At 38.3% G+C, this 16,815-nt stretch overlaps 1 protein-coding gene across 10 annotated transcripts in view; it reads left to right on the forward strand.

Annotated features, from left to right (window-relative positions):
• The window catches only part of CCNB3 (cyclin B3), a 149,202-nt gene that overhangs the window by 76,252 nt on the left and 56,135 nt on the right, over positions 1 to 16,815 (forward strand). For 8 of the 10 annotated variants that reach the window (XM_017029915.1, XM_047442599.1, XM_047442600.1 and 5 more), the window contains 4 exons: positions 5,578 to 5,652; positions 6,163 to 6,295; positions 9,816 to 9,923; positions 15,899 to 16,029. In XM_017029915.1, the coding sequence (XP_016885404.1) occupies positions 6,200 to 6,295; positions 9,816 to 9,923; positions 15,899 to 16,029 (335 nt within the window). In that variant the 5' untranslated portion in view covers positions 5,578 to 5,652; positions 6,163 to 6,199. Of the gene's footprint in view, positions 1 to 5,571; positions 5,653 to 6,162; positions 6,296 to 9,815; positions 9,924 to 15,898; positions 16,030 to 16,815 lie in introns of those variants that run through there. The other 2 variants (XM_024452472.2, NM_033670.4) reach the window with 2 other exon arrangements.

Below are 16,815 nucleotides of genomic sequence, written 5' to 3' on the forward strand. Positions count from 1 at the left end.
ATATATGTAAATATGTAGTATATATAAATACATATAGAATATATATATTTATATATAGAATATATTTATAGAATATAGATATTGAATATATATAGAATATATTTATAGAACATATATAAATATATATTAATATATATTCCATATATAAATATATAGAATATATTATATTCATATATAAATATATAGAATATATATATTCTATATATATATGAATATAATATATTCTCTATATATAAATATATAGAGTATATATATTCATATATAAATATATATGAATATATATACTATATATAAATATATAGAGAATATATACATATTCATATATAAATATATATGAATATTTATATTTAATATATATTTAAATATATATGAATATATATATGAATATAGGATATTTATATGAATATATAAATATATGAAATATTTTGTATATTCATATAGAAATATATAAATATATAAATATATATAAATATATATATAAATATATAAATATATATAAATATATAAATATATGAAATATTCATATATAAATATATATGAATGTATTTATTCATATAAAGATATATGAATATATATTCATATATATAAATATATGAATATATATTTTCTATATATAAATATATATTCATATGTAAATGTATATGCATATGTACATTCATCTATGTAAATATATGAATATGTACATTCATCTATGTAAATATATGAATATGTACATTCATCTATGCAAACATATATGTGAATATGTATATTCATATATGTAAATATATATGATTATGTATATTCATATATGTAAATATATATGAATATGTATATTCATATATGTAAATATATACTATATATAGAATATATATGGTATTTATATAAATACATATACTTTATAAATATAAAATATATATACTATATATAAAATATATATAGTATATATAAATATATAGTGTATATATATAAAAATATATATAGAATAAATATGTATTTATAATATATATAGAATATATGAGTATATATATAATATATGTAGAATATATGAATATATACATAGAATATATAAATATATAGAATATATATAAATATATAGACAGAATATATATAAATATATATGGAATATATAAATATATATATGGAATACATATAAATATATATATAGAATATATAAATATATATAGAATATATGTAAAAATATATATAGAATATATATAAATATATATAGAATATATATATAAATATATATAGAACATATAAATATATTTTTAGAATATATATAAATATATGTATAGAATATAGATATAAATATCTATATAGAATATAGATATAAATATATGTATAGAATATAGATATAAATATATATATAGAATATAGATTTAAATATACCTATATTCTAGTTCCTGGCACAAATCAGGTGATTAATAAATGTTTGTTAAACAAACTAATGTATGAATGAAATGAATGAGATATTGAGCTATTAGCAAAGTACAATTTTGTCATCTGTAAAATGGCAATAATACAAGGATCTTGTTTTAGGACAGGATTTAAAGCAATAAAAAATTTTATAGTAGGTAGCACGTTTTGAATTAACTTAACTACTATTAGCTCTCTGCACTTTGGGTCCTCATTCACAAAATAGGGGCAGTAACTTCTGCCTTGCTTCCTTCACAAGGCTATTTGTGAAGCCTGCAGGAATTAGTGCTTGACTCTATAAGTGGTTATTAATATTAATGTTTTAATAGGCCCGTACCTGCATCATACAGCTGCTCTGCTCTTCCCATCCTCTGGCAAGGTTATTTAAATGAAAACGCGTCTTTTATTTTATTTTTTTGAGACAGGGTCTCAGTCTGTCACCCAGGCTGGAGAGCAGTGGCACAATCATTGCTCACTGCAACTTCTGCCTCCCGGGCTCAAGTGATCCTACCACCTCAGCCTTCCAAGTGGCTGGGACTATAGGTACGCGCCACTACGCTCCGACTGATTTTTGTATCTTTTGTAGAGATGGGGTTTTTCCATGTTGCCCAGGCTCATCTCCAACTCCTGTCCTCAAGCGATCCGCCCCAACTCGCTCTCCCAAAGAGCTGGGAGTACGGGAGTAGGCCACCGCGCCTGGCCAAAAACTCGTCTTTAAAGAGACCCGATACTCCCTGCGTGTCAGCCCAGCCTGGTCCAACCAATTATACCAGAAACAACACCCTACTGCGAGGTCCTTCAGAGGCAGAGTTGGATTTTAAAATACCCAGCTCCACCCCTTCCTGTTAGGCTTTCGCGTGTCGCAGCTGTGCACGCTGATTGGTCCTCTGCTGGCCAATCACCACTGCACTTCATGACGGCTGTAGTTTTCAAAATCCCAACTGGGCTGGTGGAGGGTCGCAGGTGTCAGGTTGAGACGGACTCGAGTCGCTATAGTAAGGAGCTCCGTTCATTTCCTTGGCCTCTCCTGGTCTAGGGGTGCGTCGATGGTCTTTGCTGTCTGTCCTCGATCTCGGTGTGAGGTAGGCGCCTTTGGGCAAGTACTGCTGGCTCCAGCGTCCGGCTCTGTCGCCTGCCAGTGGGTCCTTGGGCGTCACTCCAGCCCCTTGCTGAATTCTGTTGCTGGGATGCGCGGCGTTCCTGTAAGGAAACTTTTCAATCTCCTGTCGATCAGCAGCCTGTGGAGTGAGCTCTGTACAAGATTGGGCAGGGGGAGTGTTTGTTAAGGAGTGAGATGGCAAAGCAAATGAGACTGGGTCCCAGCTTTTAGATGGAGCAATTAGTACACGTGCCTGAATCAGAGTACTTTTACAAAACGTCTTTTCACAAGTGAAAGTGTGCAGGATTAATTTCATCTACAAGTGCAGAGGGATCAGACATATTTAAGTCATAGAATGCTACTTGCAGCATGTCTTTTGAGCTACAGGTTGAAGGATATGAAGGGAGGATGGACACGTGTCCTCACTCTATTGTTAACCCTTTATCTTCACTGGCTCTTTTCTGTTCCCACCGGCAACCACCTTCAGCTTTGGCTTTCTCACCACCCTCTGCTACGCTTAGAATCGTAGAAGATCAGGTAGAAGGGACCCTAGAACAGCGGCGCTTAAATCTTAACGTGCATAAAAATCACCTGGGGATATTGTTAATTTGCAGATTTTGATTTGATAGGTCTAGTTTGGGGCCTGAGGTTTTAAATTGCTAACAAATTTCCAGGTGATGCTAATGTTGCTTGTCCATTGACCACATTGAATAGCGAGGAGGCTCTAGTTCCACTGCTTCGTTTTATTGGGTGGGAAAACTGGGTCCCAGAGAGGGAAAGGGACTTGCCCAGTGTCACCCAGCCAACTAAGAGCAGAGCCAGAACTAGACCTTAGGCATCCTTCCCAGCCCAGTGCTGTTTTATTGACACAATGCTGTGTTCTCTCCCCAGAGCCTTGCTGTCTGTAACCTGCCTTTATATAAAAAATGAAGTTGCTACTACTTCCTGTAGACTGTTTTGATCAGCTTAGCCCTGCTGCCCCTTTGTTTGTTTCAGCACCAGCCCTGGGAGGTCCAGTGGAGTCTGCAACACTTACCAGTGTGTATGTAGGGGACATGGAAAGTCTGAAAAGGGGAAAGGATTCTAATTTTCTTGCCCAAGGCTCAGGGTTCTGTAGGTGGCAGAAGTTGAGAGTGTTCCGCAGAGAGTGTCCTTTTATGAAAGGATCTTTTTGATAGTGTCAATCCCCTCTCCTCCCCTTCTCCCTGGGAAAATTAGTTTACCTAAGTCAGTGCATCTGTCCCTCAATGCAAATGATTAGTGTTCACGATAATAAATGGGGTATATGACCATCATTTAAATAACCTTATTTTCTCTGAGATTTAGTTAACCTGTATGTTATCAGCTGAGAGTTTTCTAGCCTGTGGGCTCCGTATTTCTTTTTCCTTTTAAAAGGTAAATGTTTCAGAGTGTGAGTCTTTGGTCATCCATAAAAAAAAAAATTATGAGGCGTAAATAATAATAGTGGAGTAAGTGATTTTCATACAGTGCAGTTAACAGTGGGTGCACCCAATTTAGCTTTATTGCTGCTTGGCTGAGGTTTGAGGAATGAGATGGAATATAGGTTTGGATTTGATAGAAGAAGAGGGGAGTAAGACAGTATTTATTAAATGCCTGCCATGCATCAGGTTTTGTACATGTAAATTTGCATCTGAGCCACACAAGTCCTCTGCAAGTAAGTGGTGTTATAGCTGTTTTGAAAATGAGGAAACTGAGGCTCAGAAATGCTAAGTTGGCTGGCTTAGAAGTCCAGTTATTCAAACTCCAAGACCTGTGCTCATTCTACCTCCTCATACTATGGCCTTTCACTGTTTTGGAATATTTTTGAGTGTGATCGAAGAGACTTCATGGTATTTTAGAAACTGCCTGGGAAAAAGCTGGGCAGTCTATGCCCCTTAATAGTTTGTCCTGGGTAGTAAGTTACTTAACTCATCTGAGACTGTAAAATAGAATTGTACCTGCCTTGCTTAGCCTTATGGTTTTGTTGTGAGAATCAACTGAGGTAACATGTGAATGCATATACTTATACTGGCTTTTCCTGACCTACAAAATGTTTCATCCTTCTCCATCCAAAGCGAAACCCAAATCAGGCTTTCTCCTTTCTTAAACTTTCCCCTCAAGCTGCAGACTTTTCTGTTTCCTTTTCTTACCAGCCTGGCCCCAGCCTAGCTTTTCAGCCTCATTTTAACCCCTCCCCAACATGTTATTTATGCTCCCTACTCCAGACAACTAGGACATCCCTGAATTCTGTATGTTCATGCCTCTGCCTGGGCTCGGCTTTCTTTGCCTGGAAACCTCCCAGTCAACTTGGGAACCTGTTTGTCATTTTAAGTCCTGATCACATGTTACTTCCTTTGTGAAGCCTTCCTCCAGCCCCTGTCCCCAACAAGATTACTGGCTTTCCATTATGTTTCTTTTTTCTTTTCTTTTTTTTTTTTAGTTTGGCATGACAGACACATATAAATTTTATTATGATTTAATCATTATTTCTATCCTTTTCCTTGAACAAAGTCTATAAAAGAATTTTAGTTGTATTTTTCCAGGTAGTTGGATTTTTTAAAAAACATTTTGCCTCTATCAAAATACTTCAGGAATACATTTTTAGCAGTCATATTAAGCATCACAGACACATTATCAACCTTTACTTAGATTTAGCCATATATTTTATTGGTTTCTTTGCTCAACTGCTTACTTTTCAACTGTTTTCTCATTTTTCTGTTTCTCCTCCATCTTCCTTTCTCTTCCCCCTACTCCTTCACCATCTTCGTCCTTAGGTAATTTTAGTTTGCCCTCACATCTGCATAATTGGTAAAGTATAGAATTCTAGGTGAAAAATCTTTTTCCCTAGAAACTATGTAAACGGTGTTTCACTGCCTTCTGTCATTTGGTGTGAAGTTACTAATCATTATGTTTCTATAGCACTTAGTTTGCGCTGCTATAAAGTGCCATGGACTGGGTGGCATTTAGTTCTCACAGTTCTGGAGGCTGGGAAATCCAAGATCAAGTTCTTATGTCAAATGATTTTTTAATAAGTTAGTTTATTTTGCTATAATCTCATCTTTTGAATTTTTTGTTCCTTCCAGGTGTCTGGAACTGGATTACAGTTTCTTCTGATTGAACGCAGCCTTTGAATACTGCCTGGCCTATCGCGAATACATGTGTGTGCAGTTATTGTTTTCTCTGTAGGGTCATAATTGCTTTGCCAGGACCCCATGCCTTTTAAGAACATTGGCTCTACCAGCTTGCCTCCATACTATATGAGCTGTCATGTTCTTCCTTGTTTTCAATGCAAAACTCCTATGTAATTTGTCCCCAGTGTTGCTAGGCCTAAACTAGGGGCTAGACAACATCCCAGCGTTCACAGAGGATGGTAGGCACTGTGCTTGGCTTTTTACATAAAGTGTCTCATTTAATTTGAACAACACCCTGCAGAGGTAGGTATACTTATCTCCATTTTACAGATGAGGTAACTGAAGCCCAGAGATTTTAAGTCAGTCACTTGCCTGAGGTTAATTGTGATAAAACCAAGATTTGAATCCAGATCTTCCCAACATCAAAATCTGTTTTCTCCTAGGGATGCTATAGATAGACTGGGTTTTCTCAAGAATTTTCAGAGAATTTATCGTGTTTCTGGTGAATGGTGTTAAAGAGCCTCTTTCTGATTACAGCCCTGCCTTGGACAAGACGCAGCTGAATCTCTAAGTGATGCTACTGCCACTACCACCCCAGAGCTCCAAACCTGTGCCTAAGAAATCTCAGTCCAGCAAAATTGTGCCCAGTCATCATGACCCATCTGAAAAGGTTAGAGCAAGCTGTCTTTCCCAACAATATCTTTGGTAGTCTCTTCCTGTGTTGGCTCAGTACCTATCCTCACCTGTGAGTCTTTTGAAATATGTCTGGTTTAACCTGAGAAAGTGGGGAGGGGTGGCAGCCCTTGTATTGGAGAATGCCAGCAAATTAGAACTTGGGGAGAAAGTATGGACTCTTCATTCCCATAAATGCAGGGCTCAAATGAAGGCCACCCTCCATAACCCTCAAAACTGAACAACACTCAGTCCTCATTAATGATCATGTCTATATTCTTACTTTCTCTGAGAAGCTCCAAGCACCTTGCTGAAAGACTGGTACATTCTGGGGAGAGTATGAAGATTATATCAGCACATATATTATTATGCTTTTTATAGCTATTAAATTTGAAGAATGGGTATATTTTGACTCTGCTGTTTTGACTTTATTGATAGTTTGATGTTCTAACCTTAGGATATTCTGTGTTCATCATCATACATATTTTAATCAGAATTATACTAGCACTGATGAATTGGCATCAAGAGAGTATTTCCTGGAGCAAAACATCATTAGGTGAATTTAATTTCCTTGATTGGTTTTCTCTGAGCACAGATAAACATTTTCTAATCTTGCTTATTTTACTAAAATGATTTTCAGCGAGGTGCCAAATTTTTTCCTATGTAAATTTTTCGAGAAAGATTTGATATATTGATCAGATTTTTGTCAACATCAAATTTTCGGATTAGTGTTCTGCCATTGTAACTTTTCTTTAGTGGCAATTATTTTTCCAAAACCAACTTTCTTGGAGTACATTTTGCAAATCTAAGTTTTATTGAGTTCAGTTTCAGCTATAATTTTATTTGGGGTCAATTATTTCTATCAGTAATATTAAATAGGAATTGGATAACAGTTTATTTCTTAGCTAATTTCTGAGAAAATAATGTTTCATTTTTGGCTAATTTCTAGTGGGATTATTTATCATCAGCTAGATGAAAGACTAATAGCTTACTTATGTCTTGGCTTAATCAATTAGAAAATGGAAGTAATTCTTCTCAGCTTGTTCTGTTTTGTTTTGAGATGGAGTCTTGCTCAGTCACCCAGGCTGGAGTGCAGTGGCACGATCTCGGCTCACTGCAACCTCCACCTTCCGGGTTTAAGCAATTCCCTGCCTTAGCATCCTGAGTAGCTAGGATTACAGGCGCCTGCCACCATGCCCGGCTAATTTTTGTATTTTTAGTAGAGACGGGGTTTCACCATCTTGGCCAGGCTGGTCTTGAACTCCTGACCTCGTGATCCACCCGCCTCGGCCTCCCAAAGTGCTGGGATTGGGATTACAGGCCTGAGCCACAGTGCCTGGCCCTCAGTTCGGTTTTTTTTTTTTTTTTTTGGTTGTTGTTGTTGTTGTTTGTTTGTTTGTTTTTTTTGAGACGTAGTCTTGCTCTGTCACCAGGCTGGAGTGCAGTGACACGATCTCGGCTCACTGCAACCTCTGCCTCCCAGGTTCAAGCAATTCTCCTGCCTCAGCCTTCTGAGTAGCTGGGACTACAGGCATGCGCCACCGCGCCCAGCTAATTTTTGTATTTTTGATAGAGACGGGGTTTCCCCGTGTTGGCCCGAACGGTCTCAATCACTTGACCTCATGATCCATCCGCCTCAGCCTCCCAAAGTGCTGGGATTACAGGCGTGAGCCGCCGCGTCGGGCTCCAGCTCTTTTAAGATTGCTCTCTCTGCTGGATTGGTTTATTGTGTCATGAATCCAATTCTGGTAACTTACTGTGCCATGTATTAAGTGTTAATGGTACAGCTGGAGAACAGAGCAAATGGTCTGATCCCAGTGTCCTGCTTCACATTATAACAGCTCTCTGACACAGGTAGGGCGGGTTTGTTTTCAGAATTTCATAAGGGCAGTCTGAGACTTAGGAGATTTTTACCACATAAAGTTGTTAGAGGGTAGAAGACTCCTATAGTGTGGTTTGCCCTAACCTCTAACCCTATAGAGATGGTCTTACTCATTTGGGAATGGGGTAAGGCAAGCACAGACACAGAATATGTGGGAAAAAAGCCCCTTCTGCTTTAAAATATTCATCCCCCTTCCCTTCCCCGGCCCCTCCTTTATATATACTAACAATCAGAGATTAATCTGGATTACTAAACTTTGTTTTTAATATAAAATTTTCCTTGTGAGGTTTACAATCATATCAGACTACATTATTTTAAATACTATTTCTGCCCATTTACAGTTCATACGAACTTTTAAAAAACATGTATTGTCTTATTTAATCTTCAAGGACTGTAAGGCAAGTTATCCAGCTTTACTGATAAGAAAATTGAGGATTAGAGATTAAGTTACTTGTCCAAGGTCAACAGTTAGTAAAGAGCTGATCCTGGAGCAGTATCTAGATGTGTGTGCTATTATCCTTACTGGTAATGTCTTTTAAAACAGGTCCCCAACCCCTGGGCCATGGAGCAGTATCTAGATGTGTGTGCTATTATCCTTACTGGTAATGTCTTTTAAAACGGGTCCCCAACCCCTGGGCCATGGACCAGTACTAGTCTGTGGCCTGTTAGGAACCCAACTGTACAGCAGGAGGTGAGCAGTGAGTGAGAAAAGCTTCATCGGTATTTATAGCCACTCCCCATCGCTCATATTACTTCCTGAGCTCCACCTCCTGTCAGATCAGCAGTGGCATTAGATTCTCATAGAAGCATGAACCCTATTGTGAACTGCTCATGCGAGGGATCAAGGTTGCGCGCTCCTTATGAGAATCTAATGCCTTATGATCTGTCACTGTCTCCCATTTCCCCCAGATGGGACTATCTAGTTGCAGGAAAACAAGCTCAGGGCTCCCACTGATTCTACATTATGGCGAGTTATATAATTATTTCATTATATATTACAATGTAATAATAAATGTGCACAATAAATGTAATGTGCTTGAATCATCCCAAAACCAGCCCACCCCAGTGTCCGTGGAAAATTTGTCTTCCATGAAACCAGTCCCTGGTGCCAAAAAGGTTAGGGACCGCTGTTTTAAAAGCTGCTTAACATAAGAGACCCTTAGATATTTGTTAAATTATTAAACTGATCTACCTGAAAAAGCTGCTTAACATAAGAGACACTTAGATACTTGTTAAATTATTAAACTGATCTACCTGAAACATCTATATTAAAGGAATGACTAGGAATGGTAGGGGTGGTAGTGGTCTACCTTGGATAGGATAACCGTAAGTATGAGAGAAGTAAGAGGAGAAATGAGCTTTACTGAGCTACACTTTGCTCATTTTGTGAGTTACACTGAAGGTCATCTTGCCTCCTTGTAGACGTACCCCATTAACAATGTCTACCACCTTTAGGGACTTAATAAACAGCTCTGAGTGCCATAATTTCCTTTTGTTATAGTTTATTGGGGTTTATTATATGCATCCTCAGTTACTCTGAGGTTCTGGAGTTCCCCTGAGCCCTAAAGAGGACCCAAAGTCCCTGAAGAGACTGTTCACAATTGGATATACTCATTTACCTCTTTTACTTTTTTAGACGGGGGAGAATTGCCAAACGAAGATATCTCCATCTTCACTTCAGGAGTCTCCATCTTCACTTCAGGGAGCACTCAAAAAGAGATCAGCTTTTGAAGATCTCACTAATGTGAGTATGCTAGTCCAATCCTTTGCTATGGTTTTGCATAAGGCTTAGACATGCTGTTTCTTGAGGGACCTTTCCACTTTACCAGACCCTCTCTGGAATCTTGACAGCAAATTTTATTTGGGACCAATGACCCAGTTTCAGAAACTGCAGGGGCTCTGTTCCTGGCACATACCATCTGAAACAATTGGTGGAGTTCTCTGGAAGCAGCAGACAGTGATTATCAGATATGAAATTGCAGATAACTATGAGAACTATGGAATTTTGCATTTAGATAAAGTCCAGAGGTGACTGCCCAGGCCTTCGAGGTAAGTATTTTAGTGGAATCATTGTAGTCCAGTGCAGTGTTTATCAATTCACACATTATGGACATTTTGAGCAGGACAATTTTTCTGTTGTGTAGGACTGATCTCAACTAGCACCCCTCGTCCTCAGGCATTAAATTCCACCAGCAGCCCAGTCATAGTGATAATCAAAAATGCCTCCAGATACACAGAACTGTTGAGAACCATAGTTCCAAGATCGAGTCTTTATGAAGATCTAGAAATTCAATTTTGGCTAGAATTCTCTCAAGTAACCTCCCTTCTGGTATTATTAAGGTACCAGTAAAAATCAGAATTAATAGAATGTTGTTAATTGAATATAGAATCAGGCCAAAGGCAATCTTTGTCTTAGAAAATAATAATAACTGGTACACTTACTGGGTGCTTACCATGTGTCAGGCACTATGCTAAGCATGTTATCCTGCATCAGCTCACTTAATCCTCATGTAATCCTATGAGGTAGATACTATAATATCTTCTTTATAGATGAGGACTTCACCAATGTTGGTTTTGAAGTCTGTATTATCTAGGCTATAGATAATCCTGGTGAACTATTCTTGCCCTGCATTATGTAGTATACTTATGTAGCTACCAGAATACTTGTATCTACTAAATAGTGTTTTACTCCCTTGGGCATAATTGGATAAGCATTGGTAAGGTTCTTTCCTTTAGATCGCTGCTCTTTAGATTCTGTATGGCCACCTTTCTGCAAATACAATCTCTTCCCTATACAGATTACAACATGGTTTTTTAAGTTACAGCTTTCTGCATAATTTCAGATTTACTATCAATTGGTAGAAAGAGCCCCTTCCCACACACACACTTGTAAGGTTAGATTAATTTCCTGACTTATTTAACCATGGATACAGAATTTGGCTGAAATAAGGTAGCCACAAATCAGGAGCAGATGCAGCCTATCTTAGTGTAACTTGCCTTGGCCCCTCCAAGTCCCTGATGGGAGTACAGTGACACTGTGCAAGGAAAGTGTCTAAGTCCATGTGGGCAATTATCACAAAACACCTTAGACTGGGCAACTTAAAAACAACAGAAAGTTATTGCTCACAGTTCTGGAGGCTGAAAAGTCCAAGATCAAGGTGCTGGCAGATTTGGTATCTGGTGAGGGCCCGTTCCTCATGGATGACATCTTTTGCCTGTGCCCTCATGTGGTGGAAGAGGCAAACAAGCTTCCTCGGGCCTCTTTTATAAGGGCACTAATCCCATTCACAAGGGCTGTGCTCTCATGACTTAATCACTTCTCAAAAGGCCTATCTCTTAATAGCATCACATTGGAGATTAGGTTTCAACATAATGAATTTCAAAGGGACACAAATATTCAGATCACAGCAGTAAAGTATCACAGCGCATGAGAAACTTTCTTGTGACATCTCAGTCCCTTTTTTCATGAGTTTATCTTACCATTCAGAAAGAACAGATATACATGAAGTGTATCAATAATGGGAAATCCATGCAGGTATCTAGGACCCTCCTGATTCTCCAGCTGAATTGAGCATCTGTTTGGCCATATCCCCATGGGGTTAGGGGGCAGGGGAGCAAGGGATCTCTGAGCAGAGTCTCTGCTTCTAGCTCTCTGGCTGCTCAGAAAGCCCATTTACCGTTTGCGCTCAAGTTCTGAAGATTTACCTTGGTTACCTTGAATGGTCTTTGGTGCCTTCCAGAGACAGTTCCATCATTACAATGTACCTAAGCCATTCCTAGGGTTGGGCATTACTGCAGATATCTGAGCTCATCTATTTGACAGTTGAGGGCTCCTTTCTCTCTGGGTTTTGGAGGTTCCCTATATGATAATTTGCTTCTTACAGTCAGTATTATTAGGTCTCCATGTCTTCATCCCTGTGTTCTTCTCAACATTTGCCACAGTGAGATCCTGGCCTGCCAAAAAGAGTTAATCTGTTTTAATTAGTTAATCTGCTGTGAGTTTTTCTTTTCCTCTGCCTTATCATTTCTAGCATGGGAAGGACTTATGATATTTAAGAACTGGTGCTAAGCCAGTAGACAAGGAGATAGGGCCTATATCCATGTTTGCCTAAATGGTTTTGCGTAAGTAGGACTTTCATTTATTTTTATTTATATATGTTATTTTATTTATTTTTTTTGAGATAAAGTCTTGCTCTTCTGCCCAAGCTGGCATGATCACAGCTCACTGCAGCCTCAGCCTCCTGAATAGCTGGGACTACAGGTGATTGCCACCATGCCCAGCTAATTTATGTATTCTTTTTGTAGAGATGGGATTTTGCCATGTTGCCCAGGCTGGTCTTGAACTCCTAGGCTCAAGCAATCCTCCTGCCTCGACCTCCCAAAGTGCTGCAATTATAGGTGTGAGCCACCACACCAAACCTTCACTTCTATTTTCCTATTTTATGGTGAAAGAATTATGGGGAAGTACAAGTAAAGGTCCCCTGGAGCTTAAACTTGAAAATATCAGTGCTTTGTACCTGTATGTATGGCAAGTAGAGAGTTTCATCTTGGGAGTTATGATCTCCACGTCTTTCTTGCCATGAATGCACCTCTTTTCCCATTCTGAATCTTGATTGTACATATAAGGAGTTTGCAAAACTTTAGGTGAAGTTAAAATGGTGACTGTGCCAAGCTCTTTGAAAAGCAGAGGTAGATGACTTGAGGTCCTAAGAAAGAGTTTCCTATTGGACTGTAGTTGTTTATTATGATCTGATGATACAAAGACATACTTTTTTTTCTACATTTAACTTGGAAATAACTTCAAATTTATGAAGTGTTGCAAAAATGAAAATTGTACAAAGAACACCAGTATACCCTATAGTAGATTACTTATTGTTGACATTTTGTCCCACGTGCTTTCTCATTTGCTTGTATATGTCATGGTCCCTTTACCCGTAAGTACAGTGTGTATTTCCTAAGAATAGGGAAGTTGTCTTATATAACCACAATATACTTATCAATTTTCTAAATTTACATTGATATAGCAGTTTTGTGTAATCAATCATCTATATTCCAATTTTGTCAGTTGACCTTATAACAACCTTTATAGCACGTTTTCCCCTCCAGTAAAGGATCCAGGCTAGGATCATGTATTTACTTGTCTTTTTAGCCTCTTAACCTGGAACATTTCCATAGCCTTTTTTTTTAATGACGTTGCCATTTTTGAGGATGCAGTCCCACCCAACTCCCCACTTTGTAAAATAGAAAAGTCCTCATTTTGTTTTTGTCTAATGTTTGCTTGTGACTAGATTGATACATTCTTGGCTAGGATACTGTGTAGGTTATGTTCTTGCTATCCTTCTCAAAGTATATCTGGAGGCACAGGATGTCTGTCTTTCATTGATGATGTTAATTTTGATCACCTGTTCAAGATGTTGCCTGGTTTTTGTACTGTATCATTATTGTTTATCTTTTTCTCTTGCAACTAGTAAGGAATCTGTAGGACATACTGTACAAGCATGAGCCTTCCCTTCTCCACTGTTTATTATCAGTATGGACTCCTGAGTCCATATTTTCCAGAGGTTTACTGTTCATTATTGTACTTTATTTTGGTGCTCAAATTGCCCCATCTTTGGCCAGTTAGGAGCACCTTCAATCTCACTAACGTGTCCTTGTGACACACTCTCATAATTTTTTGAGCATTTTCTTTCCAGCTTAAAAAGATGTTCCAGACTCATCTTATGTCTCCTTTGTCCAAGCCCTGGAGTCAAACATTTCTCCAGAGTTCTGGTTCCCTTTAATGGGGAGTGATATTAGATACCAAGATATTGATGCTAGATGTGCTATTAGGATGTCTGCTTTTTCTGCCCATTCTGCAGACAGAGCTAGGAAATATCTGTATTTTTATATACACAAATGTGTACTTATACATACGTCTGTATATACAAATATATGTGTATAACTGGTTCAGTCTTGGGAGGGTGTATGTGTCCAGGAATTTATCCATTTCTTCTAGATTTTCTAGTTTATGTGCATAGAGGTGTTTATAGTATTCTCTGATGGTTGTTTGTATTTCTGTGGGGTCATGGTGATATCCCCCTTATTTCTGACTGTGTCTATTTTATTCTTCTCTCTTTTCTTATTAGTCTAGCTAACAGTCTGTCTGTTTTATTAATTTTTTTCAAAAAGCCAGCTCCTGGATTTGTTGATTTTTTTTAAGGTTTTTTTGTGTCTCTCTCTCCTTCACTTCCACTCAAATTTTGATTACTTCTTGTCTTTTGCTAGCTTTGGGGTTTGTTTGCTCTTGGTTCTCTAGTTCTTTTAGTCATGATGTTAGGTTGTCTATTTGAGATCTTTCTAGCTTTTTGATGTGGGCATTTAGTATATGTACACACATATACCTATTTAGGAAATCATGAATTCATGCAGCTTCAATTTCAATACATAAAATTATTTCTTAGATTCACTAGTCCTTATTTGTATGTTCTATATTGAGAACCCTGGCTCCCAAGAACATCAACACATTTACTTAATACTGTAATACAGCTAAAAGAGTTTCAAAATGGCTTCATCCAAACCACTGTAATAAACAAACCTACTAAAAAGAGTTCCAGATTTATTAGCAATATCTACAACCTCCTGCAGACCTATCCTAATTGAGGATGTATACTTTGAAGGTGGTAGTCAAATACTATTTATAAGTGACTTGGATTGGTTATTTCTGGTCTTTTATTCTGCTTTATTTTTTCCTTTAATGTAGTTATGGTACTTATTTGAAATATAATTAGGTTCATTTGTGTCATTTAATTTTTTAATTTTTAAAACTTTTTTGAGACAGGGTCTTGCTCTGTTGCCCAGTCTGGAGTACAGTAGCGTGGTTGAAGCTCACTGTAGTCTCAACCTCCCGGACTCAAGCAATCCTCTTACCTCATTCCCCCCAAGTAGCTGGGACCATAGGCATGTGCCACCACACCGAGCTATTTTTTTTATTATTTTTTTGTAGTGACAGGGTCTCCCTATGTTGCCCAGGCTGGTCTTGAACTCCTGGGCTCAAGTGATCCTCCCACCATGGCCTCTCAAAGTGCTGGGACTGCAGGCAAGAGCCACTGTGACTAGCCTGTTTGTTTCATTTTAAAGATATAACTTTAAGTGTATTTTTACTGACATTATTAACAGTCCCATGATCTTTCCTACTGTTTAATAGTGTTAGTCAGGATTAGAGTCTGTGTGGAACTCCCCAAAGCCCTGAGTTAAATAAATGCCACTTAGTGAGATGGGATAGATATATCACAGGTAGTATGTAGTGTTAGAGGTATATCCTGAAGAGGCACACCCAGACAGCAAAGTCAATCATACTGCCTTTTTTCCCCTCTGAAAATCTTATGAGGTCAAAGTGGAGTATGATGTTAACACGGCATATTTTCAGTTATGGGCCAGCTAGTAGGCCTGGCATAGAGCACAGAACTACATCCTGTATCTCTTGGAAACACATAGGGCTGCTAGTTAGCCAACACATACCAGTACTACTGCACTGGTTGTTTGATGCTAGCTTCCACTGTGATTGGTTGGCCCACTGCCATACTGGTTGTGAGATGTTTGGATTATCACTCCTGGGAACACCCAACCAACTTATGTGGGTCAGGACTTTCCTATGAGAGCCACCTTTTAGGTAATTTGTGGTTTTCTTCATTTTCTTGCCTCCTTCTTCCCCTGCCCCCCAACCCACCTTTTTTTTTGCAGGCTTCTCAATGTCAACCTGTCCAGCCCAAGAAAGAAGCCAATAAAGAGTTTGTAAAAGTTGTTTCCAAGAAGATAAACAGGAACACACATGCTCTTGGACTGGCCAAAAAGAATAAGCGGAATCTAAAATGGTGAGTGAAAGGGGACTCAGATGGCATTATTTTAGATGGTAGAGTATGTGACATCCTTTTGTCCCCATTGAGAACATATTTAGCAAGCCACAATGGTGACTACCACATTAACCCTGGGTGCTGAGGTGGGCTCAGCTGTGGTTGCTGAAGAGTTAAAAAAAGCCTCTTCTGTCTCTCCTCTTTCATTACGTGTGTGCATATTGAAAGAGCTCTTGTCATTGGAAAATTTGCCAAAAGACCTTGTGCTCATCTTTTCCTGTCTTTTAGTAATTCAGTACCTGTTTGAGCTAGTCTGTGCTTTATAGTGTGGAGACAACTTAACTTTCCAGGGATTCTCAGCAGCTGACTGGTAGCTTGCCAGTCAGCTTATTCCATTAGAAGCTTTACGGGAGGTTTGTCCCATGTTACTGGAGATAAATTACTATCTCCCTAGAGCAAAAACATGTGGTTTTCAGCTGTTACAGGTACCGTTCACAGGTTCTACAAGTACAGATGCACATTCCCATTTAGGATTGGAAAAATAATTTACCTCTAGGAAGACTTTATCCCCTCCTCATTCCGGTGGGAATTATTCTTCAGGGACTAACTAATCTACATCTGAATAGATTAGATAGCTGGCTATTACAGGGCTAAAGTCAATCATGTTGCCTTATTCCCCTCTGAAAATCTTATGAGGTCAAGGTGGAGTGATGTTAACACAGCATCTTTTCAGTTATTTGCTAGCCAGAAGGCCTGGTATAGAGCACAGAACTACATCCTGTATCTCTTGGAAACATGTAGGGCTGC

Source organism: Homo sapiens, chromosome X (assembly GCF_000001405.40).
Source record: "Homo sapiens chromosome X, GRCh38.p14 Primary Assembly".
NCBI lineage: Eukaryota > Metazoa > Chordata > Mammalia > Primates > Hominidae > Homo > Homo sapiens.